Consider the following 18272-nt stretch of genomic DNA (forward strand, 5'->3'; position numbering starts at 1 on the left):
ATCGGCGCATGCCGTGACACCCAGCTAATTTTTATTTTTTGTAGAGATGGGATCTCTCTCAAATTCCTGGCCTCAAGTAATCCTCTTGCCTCAGCCTACCAAAATGCTGGGCCTTATTATTGTAATGTTTTTTCCTTTCATTTAAGTAAAAATTAAAGTGTAATTTACTGGCCAGGTGTGGTGGCACAGGCCTATAGTCCCAGCACTTTGGGAGGCTGAGGCGGGCGGATCGCTTGAGCTCAGGCATTGGAGATCAGTCTGGGCAACACAGTGAGACCTTGTCTCTACAAAAAACAAAACAGAAAATTAGCTGGGCATAGTGGTGTGCATTCGTAGTTCCAGCTAATTGGGAGGCTAAGGTGGGAGGATCACTTGAATCCGGGAAGTCGAGGCTGCATCAAGCCAAGATGGCCCCACTGCACTTTAGCCAAGACCCTATCACAAACAAACAAACAAACAAACAAACAAACAAACAAACAAAAAAACAAAAAAACCAGTGTAATTTACTGACAGTGAAACCCATACATATTAGTATACGATTCTGTGATATTTGACAAACCACACAACCCTATAACCACAACCTCAATAGAAATACAGAATACCGGCCAGGCCTGGTGGCTCACACTTGTAATCCTAGCACTTTGGGAGGCTGAGGCGGGTGGATCACTTGAGGTCAGGAGTTCAAGACCAGCCTGGCCAACATAGTGACTCTCTGTCTCTACTAAAAATACAAAAATTAGCCGGGCATGGTGGTGGGCACCTGTAATCCCAGCTACTCAGGAGGCTGAGGCAGGAGAATCGCTTGAACCTGGGAGGCGGAGGTTGCAGTGAGCCGAGATCATACCACTGCACCTCAGCCTGGGCAACAGAGCAAGACTCCATCTCAAAAAAAAAAAAATTAAAAAAAAAAAAAAAGAAATACAGAATACCTTTTTCCCTCCCAATTCCTGCAATTCCTGCGTGCCCCTCTGGAGTCAATTTCTCTCCCTCAGTCCCAGCCCCTGGCCCCTGCTGACTTCCTCTCTGTTGCTATATTTCTGCCTTTTCCCAGGATATTATGTCAATGGAATCGTACCATAGGCAGCTTTTGGCGCATACTTCTTCCAGGCAGCAGAATGCATTTGAGGCTTATTCACGTTGTTGGGTGTAGCATTTTTTGTTTCTTTTACTGTTGAGGAGTCCCTGGTATGGATGTGTCACCATGCATCCATTCATTTGTTGACAGACACGTGAGTTGTTTCCAGTTTTGGTGACGAATGCCCAAATTCATAGGCGATGATAAATAATGTGCCAGACGTTGATGTGCAAGTTTTGGTGTGAGGGTAAGTTTCCATTTCTCTACGGTGAATACCTATGAGTCCTTATTCTCTCTCTCTGTCTCTGACTTTCTCTTTCTCTCTTTATTTATTTGTTTATTTATTTTTATTTATTAGACAGGGTCTTGCTCTGTCACCCAAACTGGAGTGCAATGGTGCAGTCTTGGCTCATTGCCACCTCTGCCTCCTGGGCTCAAGCTATTTTCCTGTCTCAGCCTCCAGAGTAGCTGGAATTACAGGTGCGCACCACCACACCCAGCTGATTTTTGTATTTTTAGTAGAGAGGGGGTTTCACCGTATTGCCCAGGCTGGTGTTGAACTCCTGGCCTCAAGTGTTCTACCCGGCTCATCCTCCCAAAGTACTGGTATTACAGGCATGAGCCACCACACCCAGCCAAAACCAGCCTTTTAAAAAAATTTTATTTTCGGCTGGGCGCGGTGGCTCATGCCTGTAATCTCAGCACTTTGGGAGGCCGAGGCGGGTGAATCACGGGGTCAGGAGTTCGAGACCAGCCTGACCAACATGGTGAAACCCCGTCTCTACTAAAAATACAAAAATTAACTGGGCATGGTGGCACACGCCTGTAGTCCCAGCTACTTGGGAGGCTGAGGCAGGAGAAATGCTTGAACCTGGGAGGCGGAGGTTGCAGTGAGCCGAGATTGCGCCATTGCACTCCAGCCTGGGCAACACAGCGAGACTCCATCTTTTTTTTTTTTTTTTTGAAACAGAGTCTTGCTCTGTCGCCCAGGCTGGAGTTCAATGGCGCCATCTCGGCTCACCGCAACCTCTGCCTCCTGGGTTCAAGCAATTCTCCTCCCTTAGCCTCCTGAGTAGCTAGGATTACAGGCATGCACCATCATGCCCAGCTATGTTTTTTTTTTTAATTTTTATTTTTAGTAGAGACGGGGTTTCACCATGTTGGTGAGGCTGGCCTTGAACTCCCGACCTCAGGTGATCAGCTTGCCTTGGCCTCCCAAAGTGCTGGGATTACAGGCGTGAGCCACCATGCTTGGCTAATTTTTGTATTTTTAATAGAGGTGAGGTTTCACCCTTTTGCCCAGGCTGGCCTCGAACTCCTGACCACAAGTGATCCGCCCACCTTGGCCTCCCAAAGTTTTGGGATTACAGGCATTAGCCATTGCGCCTGGCCTATATGGAGGCTTTTGTATGGAGAGACAGGACACTGGTCCCCTGGATACTGGAGGGGGACAGTCAGGGATAGAGCTGGGGCCAAGGGGAAGATATAGAAGTGCGAATCAGGTGAGGTATAGGACAGGGTGCCTGGAGGGGAGGCCAGAATCTTCATTCTAACCAAATCCTTGCCTAGTTTTTAAAAAAATGGGCAAGGCTGAATGTGGTGGCTCATACCTGTAGTCCCAGTACTTTAAGAGGCCAAGGCAGAAGGATCACTTGAGCCCAGGAGTTCGAGGCTGCAGTGAGCTAGGACTGTGCACTCCAGCCGGGTGTGATGACGCACACATATAATCTCAGCTCTCAGAAGGCTGAAGCAGGAGAGTCACTTGAATCCAGGAGGCAGAGATTGTAGTGAGCTGAGATCACACCACTGCACTCCAGCCTGGGCAATAGAAAAAAAACCAAAACCAAACCAAAACAAAACCTTAAACACAAAGTTACCATAGAACTCAGCAACTCCTGAGGTCAGGAGTTCGAGACCAGCCTGACCAACATGGTGAAGCCCCTTCTCTACTAAAAATACAAAAATTAGCAGGGAATGGCGGTGCATACTTGTAGTCCCAGCTACTTGGGAGGCTGAGGCAGGAGAATAGCTTGAACTGGGGAGGTGGAGGTTGCAGTGACCCGAGATTGCACCACTGCTCTCCAGCCTAGGCGACAGAGTGAGACTCCATCTCAAAAAAAAAAAAGGCCGAGTGCAGTGGCTCACGCCTGTAATTCCAGCACTTTGGGAGGCTGAGGCATGTGGATCACCTGAGGTCAGGAGTTTGAGACCAGCCTGACCAACATAGTGAAACTCCATCTCTACTAAAATACAAAAAATTAGCCAGGCATGGTGGCAGATGCCTGTAATCTCAGCTACTTGGGAGGCTGAGGCAGGAGAATCACCTGAACCAGGGAGGCGGAGATTGCAGTGAGCTGAGATTGCGCCACTGTACTACAGCCTGGGCGACAAGAGCAAGACTAAAGATGGTCTCAAAAAAAAAAAAAAAAAAAAAAGAAAAGAACAGAAAAAGAAAAACAAAAAGCCTCCACATAGTCCCCTTGCTCTTGTAGAACAGAGAAGGACTTCATAGACCTTTCCCCAACACAGGTTAGTGCCAGCATGACCTTGCCAGGCCACCTTAATAGAGCAAAGATCAGTAGATGCTATGGGAAGTCAAATTTTCTCAACATTAGAAACTCTTTCCAACACACAGAAAAATGGAAAGAATTGGGCACAGGCACACTCACCCCTAGATTCTACAACGAACTCATTGCCATTCCGCGGTAAACGCTAAGCCAGGCGTCACACGCTATGCTGTGTGATGCTAGAAGTGCGCACACTTATCCTGTTGGTGGTGGAATTTACACGTGCGTTCATGAGTGTGCACGTGCGTTAGCCGCTGTGTGCATTTGTGGGCGTGCAAAGGGATGTGCCTGGGGGAAAACCTCACACAGTGGTTAGGAAGCCTGTGCAGTTGAACTGTGGGGGCTCCCGTCTTGCTTCTGCCACTTAAGGACTGTGGGGCCTTGGGCGAATTGCCCAACTTCTCTCCTGCCCGTTTCCTCTTTCAGTGTGGATTCATTCATTCAACAAATATTTACGGAACGAACACCTCCTGCGTGCCAGGCTCCATTCCAAGCACTGGGGGTTGCAGCGGCGAACAAAACAGACCCAAATGCCTGCCCTGGTGGGCCAGGAAGGCAGAAATAAAGATGAAGAGTTGGTCAAGTCTGCAGTATGTCACAGGGTGGTAGGGCTGCGTTTGTGTACATGGGGAAGAGGCTGCAGCTTTAGAGGTGGGGGGACCTCCCGGGGAAGGTGAGGAGAGTGAGGTGCTTCTAGGGGGATGGAGGGGAGGGGAGAGTCTTTCTGGCAGAGGGCAAAGCAAGTGCAAAGGCCCTGAAGCAGGAATTTACTTTGCTGTTTTTTTTTTTTTTTTTGAGATGGAATCTCGCTCTGTTGCCCAGACTGGAGTGCAGTGGCACAATCTTGGATCACCGCAACCTCTGCCTCCCGGGTTCAAGGGATCCTCCTGCCTCAGCCTCCGAGTAGCTGGGATTACAGGCGCACACCACCATGCCCAGCTAATTTTTTGTATTTGTAATAGAGACAGGCTTTCACCACATTGGCCAGGCTGGTCTCAAACTCCTGGCCTCAAGTGATCTGCCCGACTCGGCCTCCCAAAGTGGTGGGATTGCAGGTGTCAGCCACTGAGCCCGGCCTACTTGGCTGTTTAAGGAACAGTGAGGAGGTCCATGTGGTTGGAGCAGAGTGATAGAAGGGGTGAGAGGAAGGAGGGCAAAGGCAGAGAGGTGACAGTGGGTGTTGTGGGGAAGGAGAGCTTGCAAGATCTCAAGAGTTACAGGCATGGCAGGCCAGGCATGGCGGCTCACACCTGTAACCCCAGCACTTTGGGAGGCTGAGGCAGGAGGATCATTTGAGCCTGGAAGTTTGCGACCAGCCTGGGCAACATAGCAAGACCCCTGCCTCTACAAAAACAAAACAAAACAAAACAAAACGCAACAATTAGCCAAGTATGGTGGCATGTGCCTGTAGTCCCAGCTACTCAGGAGGCAGGAAGATCGCTTGAGCCCAGGAGTTTGAGGCTGTAGTGAGCTATGATCGCACCACAGCAATACAGCCTGGGTCACAGAGCCAGACCATCTCTTAAGAAAATTAAAAAAAAAAAAAAAAGATTTGCAGAAAGTACTCAAGCTTTTACCCTGGGATGTGTTGAGGGTGTCCTCTCTGGCTGCTGGGTGGATGATAATAGCACCTACCTGAAGGAGTTGTTGGAAGGACGACATGAATTAATATGTGTAAAGTGATAGGCCAGTGTCTGGCATATACCACACATGGGGTAAGGATTAGTTTATTTTTATATGCGGTAGGCGTGTGTGTGTTGGGTGTCTCTGGGCGGCAGCTGAGCCAGGTGGCCATTAGTGAGTTTGTTGTTGTGAAAGAATCTCTCTAACACTATTTAAAAAACCCTGCTGGGTGTTTAAAAGCCCTACTGGGGTTGCCATGTTTTGGCTGGGTCCCGGCTCTTTTGTATAACAGATGTTACCCAGATGTCAGCTGGGGTCAATAGAGCCTCAGAGATTTGGCGTCTGCCTCTCTCCCACGACCTGTGGGAAGCCTGGTGCCCTCTGTGAGATGCTTGTGAATTCCCAGGGCCTCTGTTCTCATGGTTGCGTCTTGGCCTGAGTTCCTGCCCGCTGAACTCTTGCCCTCACCCACCTTCCTGGGGCCAGTGCTTTGCGGGTGAACCGGTCCTGTGTTCTTGATTTTCCCCCAGATCACTCTTGCACATGGACTGCCTGCAGGTTGCCTCTCAAGATACTGTGCTCTCCCAGTCTGGCCAATGTAGCAAGAACCTATTGTTCCTGCTGTAGTTTTTTTTTTTTTTTTTTTTACCATTGCTTGAGCTTCTGCATAAGATGTTGCTTGACAAAGCATTCCACCACCAACAGGAAAAGTTTACACACTTGTTGCATAACACAGCATAGAGCGTGATGACCGGCTTGGAGTTTACCAGGCTGTCCTGTGAAGGGGAAGTTCACTTAGGACACCCGGGGCCAATGGCTGTGAGCAGCAGAAGGTGCCTTTGATGTCAAGCTGTCTTGAACGCTGCTGCTCCCGGGTGGGTAAGAGCTGGCACAGTCCAGAAAAATTGAGGCGGCGACACGATGAGAGACAGCAACCCATCCCCAGACAAACCTCAAGAGACCAGAAGCAGCCACATTGCACCAGACTTCTGGAAAATTAGGCAAGCGTTGGCAACAGAATATGTTGTGGACTCTTCTCACAGTTTCTGTAATCATTAACTGCTTTCTCAGGGTGTGGATATTCAAGGACCAGAGGTCAAAGTTACAGCAACAGCACCTTGCAAGGGGCAGGGGTGAGGAGAACCTCCTTGGGCAGGTCGTGCTGTATGGGATAAGCCCAGAACTGGTTTAGTTCTGAGACGAGGGTGCAGATAGTATTGGAAAGATGCATATCACTCAAGCCTGGAAGAAGACCAGGGTTACACTTAACCTTGACTGCAGTTCAATGCCTCGGTAATATGGACTGAATTGTAACTAAGACTGTTCTCTGCAAGGTTTGCTTGGTTTCTGCATCTTTGTAATTGTAGCATTTGGTGTTCACTTGAAGGATGGGTCTTCAAGAGCATATTCTCCAATGTTTCTTTCTCACGGCTCACCACAACCTCGACCTCCCAGGCTCAAGTGATCCTCACACCTCAGCCTCCCGCGTAGCTGGGACTACTGGCATGCACCACCACACCTGACTAATGTTTGTTTTTTTTTTGTAGAGATGGGGTCTCCTTATGTTGCTCAGGCTGGTCTTGAACTCCCAGGCTCAAGCAATCCGCTCACCTCAGCCTCCAAAAGTGCTGAGATCACAGGCGTGAGCCATCATGCCTGGCCTCTCCAGTGTTTCTTAAATGTTTCTGGACCACATACTTGTTTAGGAATTCACCCAAATCTAAAGACCACTGCTGGCCCATTGCCAAAATTCCTCCCACCCCAAATATATTTACCCAAAAGATTTTGCAGATAGTTGTATGGTATTGTGGTGCTGCAAAATTTTATCCACAGAGCCCATTCCAATTCTGGGTTCATAACCTCTGATCTAGCTTGGTTCTCTTATTTTACACATGGGGAAACTGAGTCAAAAGAGCACAAAGACTTGCTCAGGGTTATGAAGACACTTCATGACAGCCCTTGGTGTCAGAGTAAGAACTGGATGTGAGTTCCCTTACCAGCTGAGATGTCTTCTCTCTGTGCCTCAGTTTCCCTATCTGCAAAGCCAGGATAATAATAGCACTTACTTGGTAGGGATGCTATGAGGATCACATGACACATATGTGAAGCATTTAGAACCAATGCCTTAATAAATGATAGCTTTTTTTTTTTTTAGAGAGAGCTTCTCACTCTGTTGCCCAGGCTGCTGGAGTGCAGTGGCACAATCACACCTCATTGCAGCCTCAAACTCCCAGGCTCAAGGGATCCTTCCATCTCAGTTTCCTAAGTAGCTGGGACCACAGATGTGCACCATCATGCCCAGCTAGTACTTTTTTTTACATTTTATGTTTTTTGTAGAGACAGGGTCTTGCTATGTTGGCCAGGCTGATCTTGAACTCTTGGGCTCAAGTGATCTTCCTGCCTTAGCCTCCCAAAGTGCTGGGATTACAAGTGTGAAGCCACCATGCCTGGCCTATGGCTCTAATTTTTATCACCGTTCTCTTTTTTTTTTTTTTTAAGTGTAGACCCGAGTTGATTCTTTAGCCTGTAGCTAAGTCAAAGTTTGAACCAAAGAACTCCTGCCACCTAGTGGTTCTGTGATGAATAAAGTAGGGTTTGCAGCACTGAAACATGGTGATCACATGCATGTCTTTGCCTGTGTGGTTATTGTTGGGGAATTAGTGGCTATGTCTCTTTCCAAAGAGAGTGTGTTTACACATTGTATCTGTTAGCCTTTGCTGTGTAACAAACTACCCTATGGATTGCAACCATAGCCACTTATTAACCCTTGATTCTGTGGGTTGGCAACTTGGTTGAGTTTAGCCAGGCGGTTCTTCTGTCGGTCTTGCTTGGGCCCATGCATGTGGCTACAGTTAGCTGGTGGGTTGGCTGGGGCTGACTACCTTGGATTGCTTCACTCATGAGTCCATTAGCAGGCTGTTTGCTGGGGTGCCTTGGTTCTCCTCCACGTGGCCTCTCCGGTGGGCTTGCTCAAGCTCATTCCCATGGTGGTTGCAGAGTTGCTAGGAAAAGCAGAGAATATAGCCCTAATGCGCAAGAACTTCCCCTTGTGTCATGTTTGGTAATGTCTGATTGGCTAAAACAAGCCATATGGTCAAACCCAGACTCAGGAAGTAAGGAAACAGAATCTATCTCTTGACTGGAGGAAATGACAAATATTGTAAATATTGGGGCTGTTCTTCCCACTCCCCAATCTGTCACACATGTTTGCTGGCGAGTGGTTGGGTGTTGAATCGTCAGTTTCAACTTAAAGGATTTTGACTCTTTTTTTTTTTTTTGAGACAGGGTATCTCCCTGTCACCCAGGCTGGAGTGCAGTGGTGTGATCATAGTTTACTGCATCCTCAACCTCCTAGGCTCAAGCTCTCCCCCCACCTCAGCCTCTTGAGTAGTTGGACCCATAGGCATGCACCACCACACCTGGCTAATTTGAAAATTTTTTGAAGAAATGGGGTCTCCCTCTGTTGCTCAGGCTGGTCTCAAACTCCTGGGCTCAAGTGAAGTTCCTGCATCAGCCTCCCAAAGTGCTGGGATCACAGGCGTGAGCCATCACACCCAGCTAAGGATTTTGACTCTAAAGATATGTTTTCACATGTTTTCACTTCTCAAAAGAAGAGAGTTTATAAGTAGAGACCATAACTTCCAGGCTAGCCCACCAGTCTTATGATGGAAAATAACTTCCTCTCTATGGGATGTGATGGTTAATTTTATGTGTCAACTTGACTGGGCCATAAGACACCCAGATATCTGGGTTAAACATTATTTCTGAGTGTATCTGGGAGGGTGTTTCTGGGAGAGATTAGCATTTGCATTGGTGGACTGAGAAAAGCAGATGGTGCTCCCCAATGTGGGCAGACCTCATCCAATCTGTTGAGGGCCAGACTAGAACAAAAAGGCAGAGAGGAAGGTTGAATTCTGTCTGTGTCAAACTGTGGAATAGGGACATTGATCTTCTACCCCTGGTGCTCCTGGCTCTCAGGCCTTCAGACCTGGCTTGGAATCTGCATCATTGGCTCTCAGGCTCTCCAACCTTTGAACAATACCATGAATCTTCCTGGGTCTTCAGCTTGCAGAAAGCAGATCATAGGATGTCTCAGCCTCCATAATCAGATGAGCCCTGTAATTATATAATCCTTATAATAAATCTCACCCTGGATCTCTCTATCTCTTTCTGTTGCTGTCGCTCTCTCTCCACCTTTCTGATCAGCTATTGATTTTGTTTCTTGGGAGAACTCTGACTAATTCACAGGACATTTCCATTTCTTCGTTTATTGTGGGGTTCTCTCTCTCAGCCATTTGCATTCCCCCAACACCTCCTTCCCTCATTATGGATTGAATTGTTCCACCCCAAATGCACGTATTGAAGCCCCAAACCCCAGTGTGACTGAATTTGGAGATAGGGCATTGATTGATTGATTGATTGATTAATTGAGATGGAGTCCTGCTCTGTTACCCAGGCAGGAGTGCAGTGGTATGGTCTTGGCTCACTGCAGCCTCCACCTCCTGGGTTCAGATGACTCTCATGCCTCAGCCTACCAAGTAGCTGGGATTACAGGCGATTGCTACCATGCCCAACTAATTTTTGTACTTTTAGTAGAGACAGGGTTTCACTATGTTGGCCAGGCTGGTCTCCAACTCCTGACCTCAAGTGATCCACATGCCTCAGTCTCCGAAATTGCTGGGATTACAGGCATGAGCCACCGTAGCTGGTAATAGGGTCAACTTGTACATGTATTTCAACTCATTTCCAGCGGAGGTCAGTCAAGAATCTCATTCTATTAAAGTCAGTCTATGCTATGACTTTGAAGTCTGTTGCCCAGGCTGATTGCAGTGGAGACCATGGCTCACTGCAGCCTCAACCTCCCATACTCAAGAGATCCTTCTGCCTCAGCCTCCTGAGTAGCTGGGAACACAAGTGTATGCTACCATGCCTGGCTATTAAAAGAATTTTTTTTTTGTAGAGATGGGGGTCTTACCGTGTTGCCCAGGCTGGTCTTGAACTCCTGGGCTCAAGCAATCCTTCTGCCTCGGCCTCCTAAAGTGCTGAGATTACACTCTTAAACCACCATGTCCAGCCAGATGACTTTTTTTTTTTTGACTGAGTTTTCGCTCTTGTTGCCCAGGCTGGAGTGCAATGGCATGATCTCGGCTTACCACAACCTCCGCTTCCCTGGTTCAGAGGATTCTCCTGCCTCAGCCTCCCAGTAGCTGACATTACAGGCAAACGCCTCCATTCCTGGATAATTTTGTATTTTTAGTAGAGATGGGGTTTCGCCATGTTGGTCAGGCTGGTCTCGAACTCCTGACCTCAGGTGATCCCACCCTCCCCCCATCCCCCACCTCAGCCTCCCAAAGTGCTGGGATTACAGGCATAAGCCACCGCACCTGTCCAGCTTTCCATTTTCTTACTTATCAATTATCTCACTGTATGAGATACAATTTCCTTAATTCTGTTTTATTTTAAGAGACAGGGTCTTGTCTGTCGCCCAGGCTGGAGTGCAGTGGTGCAATCATAGCTCACTGCAGCCTCAAACTCCTGGGCTCAAGTGATCCTCCCACCTCAGCCTCCTGAGTAGCTGGGACCTCATGTTTGCACCACCACACCTGGGTGATTTTTTTTTTTTTTTTTTTAAGATATGGGGGTCTAGCCATGTTGCCCAGGCTGGTCTTCAACTCCTGGCCATAAGCTAATCCTCCTGCCTAGGCCTCCCAAAGTGCTGGGATTACAGGCATGAGCCACAGTTCCTGGCTCCTACATTACTTTTTCTGATCATGTTGTCCCCAGCCTCAGCTGTGATTGGCTCCAAACCCCAGCTCCCAGCCAACACCTCATCTTTTGGTTACAGTGATTGGCTCAGGAGTGAGTGTGTAACACACCCAGAGCCAATGAGAGGCAAGGACATTTGCTGGGGATTCTGGGAAAGTACACCTCCCTTTTTCTTTCTTGGGAGCAATTGAAAGAGACCCTCGAGCTGGCCCTAGAGGGTGTGGGTAGGAGAATGGGAGAAATGGCAGTGACTGCTTTGTGGACTACTGGGGAAGGATTGGGGCGTTAGCTGCAATGTGGAGCCTGAACATAAAGCCCAGGCAGCCAGTGATGGCAGAGGAGAGGCACCAGAGCCTTGGTGAGGTCTGGTGGATGCCTGGATCAAGCCTCACCTGAAGCAGCTAGCTTTTCAGTTATGTGGGTCCATATTTACTGTGAAAACGAAGATGATATTAGGTTGATGCAAAAGTAATTGTGGTTTTTGCCATTAAAAGTAACTGGAAAACCACAATTAGTTTTGCACCAACCTAAATAATATGTGACATTGTATAGCTCCTACTACATGCCAGACCCTTATTTTTTTTTCTTTTTTTTTGGGGGGGATGGACTCTTGCTCTGTTGCCCAGGCTGGAGTCCAGTGGCGCGATCTCGGCTCACTACAACCTCTGCCTCCTGGGTTCAAGTGATTCTCCTGCTTCAGCCTCCCGAGTAGCTGGGATTATAGGTGTGTTCCACCACACCCAACTAATTTTTATACTTTTAGTAGAGATGGGGTTTCACCATGTTGGCCAGGCTAGTCTCGAACTCCTGACCTCAAGTGATCTGCCCACCTCGGCCTCCCAAAGTGCTGGGATTACAGGCGTGAGGCACTGCGCCCAGCCTAACCACTTGCCTTGTATTAATCTCCATTGCACAGATGAGGAAGCTGGGGCGCAGAGAGGTTAAGCAATTTGTCCAAGGCCACACAGCTGGCGTGGCCAGAACCAGGATTCCTGGACCCCTCACCTTGTGTTCAGTTCTGCCACTTGCTTCTGTTTTTACACCCAAAGGAGTTCTGACTGTTTCCCAGTAATGCCAGAGGCTGCATAACTGGAGAGAGGAAGTAAGAGCCACTCTTCCTTTGCCTAGAACCGTCAGTGGCTCCCCGAGGCCCCTGGGTTAAAGACCACAATCCCCACTGTGGCCGGCAAGCCCTGCACAATGCAGTTCCCTCTATCACTTCCCGTCCTGTCTCCCACTGCTGTCCCCACGTCACTCAGCCCTCACCGAGCTCCTCTTTGTCCCTCCAATTTGCCAAACACCTCAGGACCTTTGTCTGTGCTGTTCCCTCTGTCTAAAATGCCCTTCCTCTGCTGCTCCTCCTAAACCAAGAGCAAATGCGTATCCTCAGAGAAGTGACCCCTCACAGCCTTCCTCCTGACCCGGATCTAGGCTAGGAAAACCCAGGCAGGAAGAACACAGGCCCTGAGGCAGCTGGCCCCAGTTCAAATCCGACTCCATGACTGCCTTGCTGTGTGACCTTGGGCGGATACCTTGATCGCTCTGTGCCTCAGTTTCCTCATCTGTAAAATAGGATGTTAATAGGCAGGTACTCCTGCCTTATAAGTTTGGGTGAGGATCAGAGGAGGCTATTATGTGGAACGTGATTAGAACAATGCTGAACTCAGTTATGCAGGCAGCTAATAACAGTAGTGTAAAGGCAAGGGTTGGTGCACTATTCACAATAGCAAAGACATGGAATCAGCCCAAATGCCCATCAATGATAGACTGGATAAAGAAAATGTGGTACATACACACCGTGGAATACTATGGAGCCATACAAAGGAATGAGATCGGCCAGGCGCGGTGGCTCATGCCTGTAATCCCAGCACTTTGTGAGGCTGAAGTGGGTGGATCACCTGAGGTCAGGGGTTTAAGACTAGCCTAGCCAACATGGTGAAACCTTGTCTCTACTAAAAATACAAAAATTAGCTGGGCATGGTGGCAGGCGCCTGTAATCCCAGCTACTTGGGATACTGAGGCAGGAGAATCACTTGAACCCAGGAGGTGGAGGTTGCAGTGAGCCGAGATCGCACCACTGCACTCCAGCCTGGGGGACAAGAAGGACATTCTGTCCCCGCACCCCCCCCCCCAAAAAAAGGGAACGAGATCATGTCCTTTGCAGGGATGTGGATAGAGCTGGAAGCCATCATTCTCAGCAACCTAAACCAGGAACAGAAAACCAAACGCTGCATGTTCTCACTTATAAGTGGGAACTGAACAATGAGAACACATGGACACAGGGAGGGGAACAACACACACACACACACACACACGCACACATGCGCGCGCGCGCGCGCGCACACACACACACACACACACACACACACACACACACACACAACTGGGGCCTGTTGGGGGAGGGCAGGGTGGGAGAGCATCAGGAAAAATAGGGAAGCCAGGTGCGGTGGCTCGTGCCTGTAATCCCAGCACTTTGGGAGGCCGAGGCGGGTGGATCACGAGATCAGGAGATCAAGACCATCCTGGCTAACACGGTGAAACCCCGTCTCTACTAAAAATACAAAAAAAATTAGCCGGGCATGGTAGCGGGTGCCTGTAGTCCCAGCTACTTGGGAGGCTGAGGCAGGAGAATGCTGTGAACCTGGGAGGTGGAGCTTGCAGTGAGCCGAGATTGAGCCACTGTACTCCAACCTGGGCATGAGCGAGACTCCGTCTCAAAAAAAAAAAAAAAAAAAAAAAGGAAAAATAGGGAATGCCGGGCTTAATACCTAGGCGATGGGTTGACAGGTGCAGCAAACCCCCATGACACACGTTTACCTATGTCACAAACCTGCACGTCTCGCACATGTACCCTGGAACTTAAAAAAATAAATAAATAAAGGGAAGGGAAGAATGGGAAGCTAGTGTTTAATGGGTATGCTGTTTTGGTTTTGCAAGATGAAGCATTCTGGAGGCGGATGGTGGTGATGGTTGCACAATGTGAGTGTGCTTAATGCCTCTGAACTGTATGGACGCTGAGAAATGATTAAAATGGTTAGTTTTACATTATGTATATATTACTACACAAAAAAGGCAGATGTGGCTGGGCATGGTGGCTCATGCCTGTAATCCCAGATCTTTGGGAGGCCGAGGCTGGCAGATCACTTGAGGTCAGGAGTTCAAGACCAGCCTGGCCAACATGGTGAAACCCCATCTCTGTTAAAAATACAAACAAAACAAAACAAACAAACAAACAAAAAACCCAAAACTAGCCAGGCGTGGTGGTGCATGCCTGTAATCCCAGCTACTTGGGAGGCTGAGGGCAGGAGAATGGCTTGAACCTGGGAGGTGGAGATTTGCAGTGAGTCAAGACCATGCCATTGCACTCCAGCCTGGGCAACAAAGTGAGACTCTGCTTAAAAAAAAAAAAAAGGCAGATGTAAAAAAAGTAAAATTGTGATTTCAGGAAGCCCCTATCTTTTCTTTCAAGGCCCTTATCTCACCCTATAATTAAGCATATTTATGTATTTTTATTTATTTAGTTTTGAGACATGATCTTGCTTTGTCACCCAGGCTGGAGTGCAGTGGCATGATCATGGTTCACTGCAGCCTTAGACTCCTGGGCTCAAGTGATCCTTCCACCTCAGCCTCCTGAGTGGCTGGGACCACAGGCAGGCACCACCACACCTGGCTGACTTTCGTATTTTTTTTTGGAGAGATGGGGTCTTGCCACGTTGCCCAGGCTGGTCTTGAACTCCTGGGTTCAAGCAATCCTCCCACCTTGGCCTCCCAAAGTGCTGGGATTACAGGGGTGAGTCACCACACCTGGCAATTAAGCAATTTTTTTTTGAGACAAAGTCTCGCTCTGTTGCCCAGGCTGGAGTGCAGTGGTGTTATCTTGGCTCACTGAAACCTCTACCTCCCGAGTTCAAGCGATTCTTCTACCTCAGCCTCCTGAGTAGCTGGGATTACAGGTGCATGCCATCACGCCTAGCTAATTTTTTGTATTTTTGTTAGAAACGGGATTTTGCCATGTTGGCCAGGCTGGTCTTGAACTCCTGACCTCAGGTGATCCACCTGCCTTGGCCTCCCGAAGTGCTGGGATTACAGGCGTGAGCTACCGTGCCCGGCATAATTAAGCATTTTCAAAGCATAATTTTTCCATGAGCGCCTGTCTTGCCGGCTCTGCTGTATGGGTCCTGTTTTACTGAACTTTGGTTTTCTTGGTCCAGCCCAGTCCCTGGGCAGGGTGGGGAAAGCAGTTTGCCTCACATTGTCTGCAGAGAATTGAAAAGCAAGAATAAAAATCACCAGAAGGCAGTCTGCTTTTATCATTCACATATGCCCAGAATTCTAAAGAATGTTAGTAATAAAATACCCTGAAAAAAAAAATCTTTTGGCCGGGCGTGGTAGCTCACGCCTGTAATCCCAGCACTTTGGGAGGCTGAAATGGGCAGATCACCTGAGGTCAGGAGTTCGACACCAGCCTGCCTAACATGGTGAAACCCCGTCTGTACTAAAAATACAAAAATTAGCCGGTCTTGGTCGTGGGCGCCTGTAATCCCAGCCACTTGGGAGGCTGAGGCAGGAGAATGGCGTGAACCCGGGAGGTGGAGGCTGCAGTGAGCTGAGATCATGCCACTGCACTCCAGCCTGGCCAGCTGAGCAAGACTCCGTCTGAAAAAAAAAAAATTGGTTCCAAAAAATTACTGCGGTTACAGCTGAGGTTTTTTTTTTTGTGGTTGTTTGTTTTGATAACTTTTACATTTTGAAATAGTTTAAGACTTACAAGAAGCTGCAAAAATAGCACAGAGCTCTCATGTCCCCTGCACCCAGCTTCCTCTAACAAGATCTTACATGACCACAGTCCAGTGTCAAGATCAGCACATTGCATGAGTGAGTTAGCCCTACATGGATGGGTATAAAGAAATTAATAGAGGCTGCGTGCGGTGGCTCACGCCTGTAATCCCAGCACTTTGGGAGGCCAAGGCAGGGGGATCTCCTGAGGTCAGGAGTTTGAGACCAGCCTGGTCAACATGGCAAAACCCGTCTCTACTAAAAATACAAAAATTAGCCGGGCGTGGTGGCACGCGCCTGTAATCCCAGCTACTGGGGAGTCTGAGGCAGGATAATTGCTTGAACATGGGAGGCGGAGGTTACAGCGAGCAAAGATTGAACCACTGCACTCCAGCCTGCAAGATGGAGTGAGATTCTGTCTCAAAAAAAAAAAAAAAAGAAGAAAGAAATAGAAATAAAAGGAAACTCATGCTAAAAAAAAAGATCAGGACATTGATGCTGATAGAATATGACTGATTCTCTCCAGTACAGAATTTACTTGGATTTCTCTAGTTACTATTTATTTTCATAATTTACGTATTTATTTATTTGAGGTTTCATAATGTACATGTAAACTTCAACTTAGCGCATTTTCATCATTTATTCTTGGTGAACTTTGTGTTCTCCATGGAAATTAATTCAGAGAAATTCCCATGTACAGAGGCAGTCCACATAAGCGGATTTAATTATCCACTTTCTTTTTCTTAAATTTATTTTTAGTTATTGTGGAACCATAATAGGTGTACATATTTATGGAGTATATGTGATATTTTGATAAAAACATACAATGTGTCCTGATAAAATCAGGGTAATTGTGACGTCCATTACCCCAAACATTTATTTGTGTTAGGAACGTTTCAATTACAATTGTTTAATTATTTCAAAATATATAATAAGCTTTTTTTTTCTTAGATGGAATCTTGCTCTGTTGCCCAGGCTGGAGTGCAGTGGAGTGATCTCAGCTCACTGCAACCTCCGCCTCCCAGGTTCAAGCGATTCTCCTGCCTCAGCCTCCTGAGTAGCTGGGATTACAGGTGCCCACCACTAGGCCCAGCTAATTTTTGCATTTTTAGTAGAGACGGGGCTTCACCATGTTGGCCAGGCTAGTCTCAAACTCCTGACCTCAAGTGATCCACTCGCTTCAGCCTCCCAAAGTGCTGGGATTACCGGCGTGAGCCACTGCGCCCGACCTTCAATAAGTTATTGTTAACCATGGGTGCCCTATTGTGCTACGGAACACTAGGTATTATTTCTTCTATCTAACTTTTTTCTTTCTTTAGAGACAGGGTCTCGCTCTGTTGCTCAGGCTGGAGTGCAGTGGGGAGATCACAGCTCATTCCAGCTTTAAATTCCTGGACTCATGCGATCCTCCTACCTCAGTCTCCTGAGTAGCTGGGACCACAGGTATGTGCCACCATGCCTGGCTAATTTTTAAACTTTTAATAGAGATGGGGATCTCACGATGTTTTCCAGGCTGGTCTTGAACTCCTGGCCTCAAGTGATCCTCCCTCTGCGGCCTCCCAAAGTGCTGGGATCACAGGTGTGAACCACTGTGCCCGGCCTCTAACTATATTTTGGACCCATTAAACATTCCTTCTCCCTCTTCCTCCTCACTACCCTTCCTGGCCTCTGGTAGCCATCCTTCAACTATCTACTTTCATTTGGAGAAACAATGGTTTGGAATGGCTTGAGTGTCTCTAAACCTCATGATAGTATAATACATCTACGTCTTCCTGGATTTAGACTAGAAAGAAATAATAAAAGATGATTTAAAGATGAAAACACAGAACTTGAATGACTTCAATTCTGTACTTTGCTGTGACCACTGGGAGATTTTTTTTTTTTTTTTTGAAACGGAGTCTTGCTCTGTCGCCGAGGCTGGAGTGCGGTGGCGCGATCTCGGCTCACTGCCAGCTCCGCTTCCCAGGTTCACGCCATTCTCCTGCCTCAGGCTCCAGAGTAGCTGGGACTACAGGCGCCCGCCACCACACCCGGCTAATTTTTTTGTACTTTTAGTAGAGACGGGGTTTCACCGTGTTAGCCAGGATGGTCTCGATCTCCTGACCTAGTGATCCACTCGCCTCGGCCTCCCAAAGTGCTGGGATTACAGGCTTGAGCCACCGCTCCTGGCTGGGAGATTTTATTTGTATTGAAACCAGCGGAGCATTGCAAACCGTTAGGTGTAGATGTTTGCAAGTGTAAATTTTAGTTCATACATGAACTCTAGTGCCGAATTCGAATGATATCTTTAAAATGGCAACTTACGCTTTAAAATTTGTTCATTGTTTTCACGCTAAAGAATGAGGCAAGAAAATAAAATGTTACATCATTTTACATCAGTCTTTACACCATTGATTTAGTGACTTGCTGGAATTGCGCTGCTTGCAGATATTTCGGTTTTATTAAAGTTCCCTTAGTTATTGGAC

General features: G+C 47.8%; 1 protein-coding gene across 2 annotated transcripts in view; it reads left to right on the forward strand.

The window, feature by feature from the left end:
- Positions 1-18272, forward strand: part of NFILZ (NFIL3 like basic leucine zipper) — a 50519-nt gene that overhangs the window by 3792 nt on the left and 28455 nt on the right. Inside the window, exons 3-4 of one of the 2 annotated variants that reach the window (NM_001378599.1) lie at positions 1226-1322; positions 4069-4232. The gene's annotated coding sequence lies outside the window, so the exon portion shown is untranslated. The remainder of the gene's footprint in view (positions 1-1225; positions 1323-4068; positions 4233-18272) is intronic. The other variant, NM_001378600.1, reaches the window with a different exon arrangement.

The sequence above is a fragment of the Homo sapiens genome, chromosome 19 (genome assembly GCF_000001405.40).
Source record: "Homo sapiens chromosome 19, GRCh38.p14 Primary Assembly".
Taxonomy (NCBI): domain Eukaryota; kingdom Metazoa; phylum Chordata; class Mammalia; order Primates; family Hominidae; genus Homo; species Homo sapiens.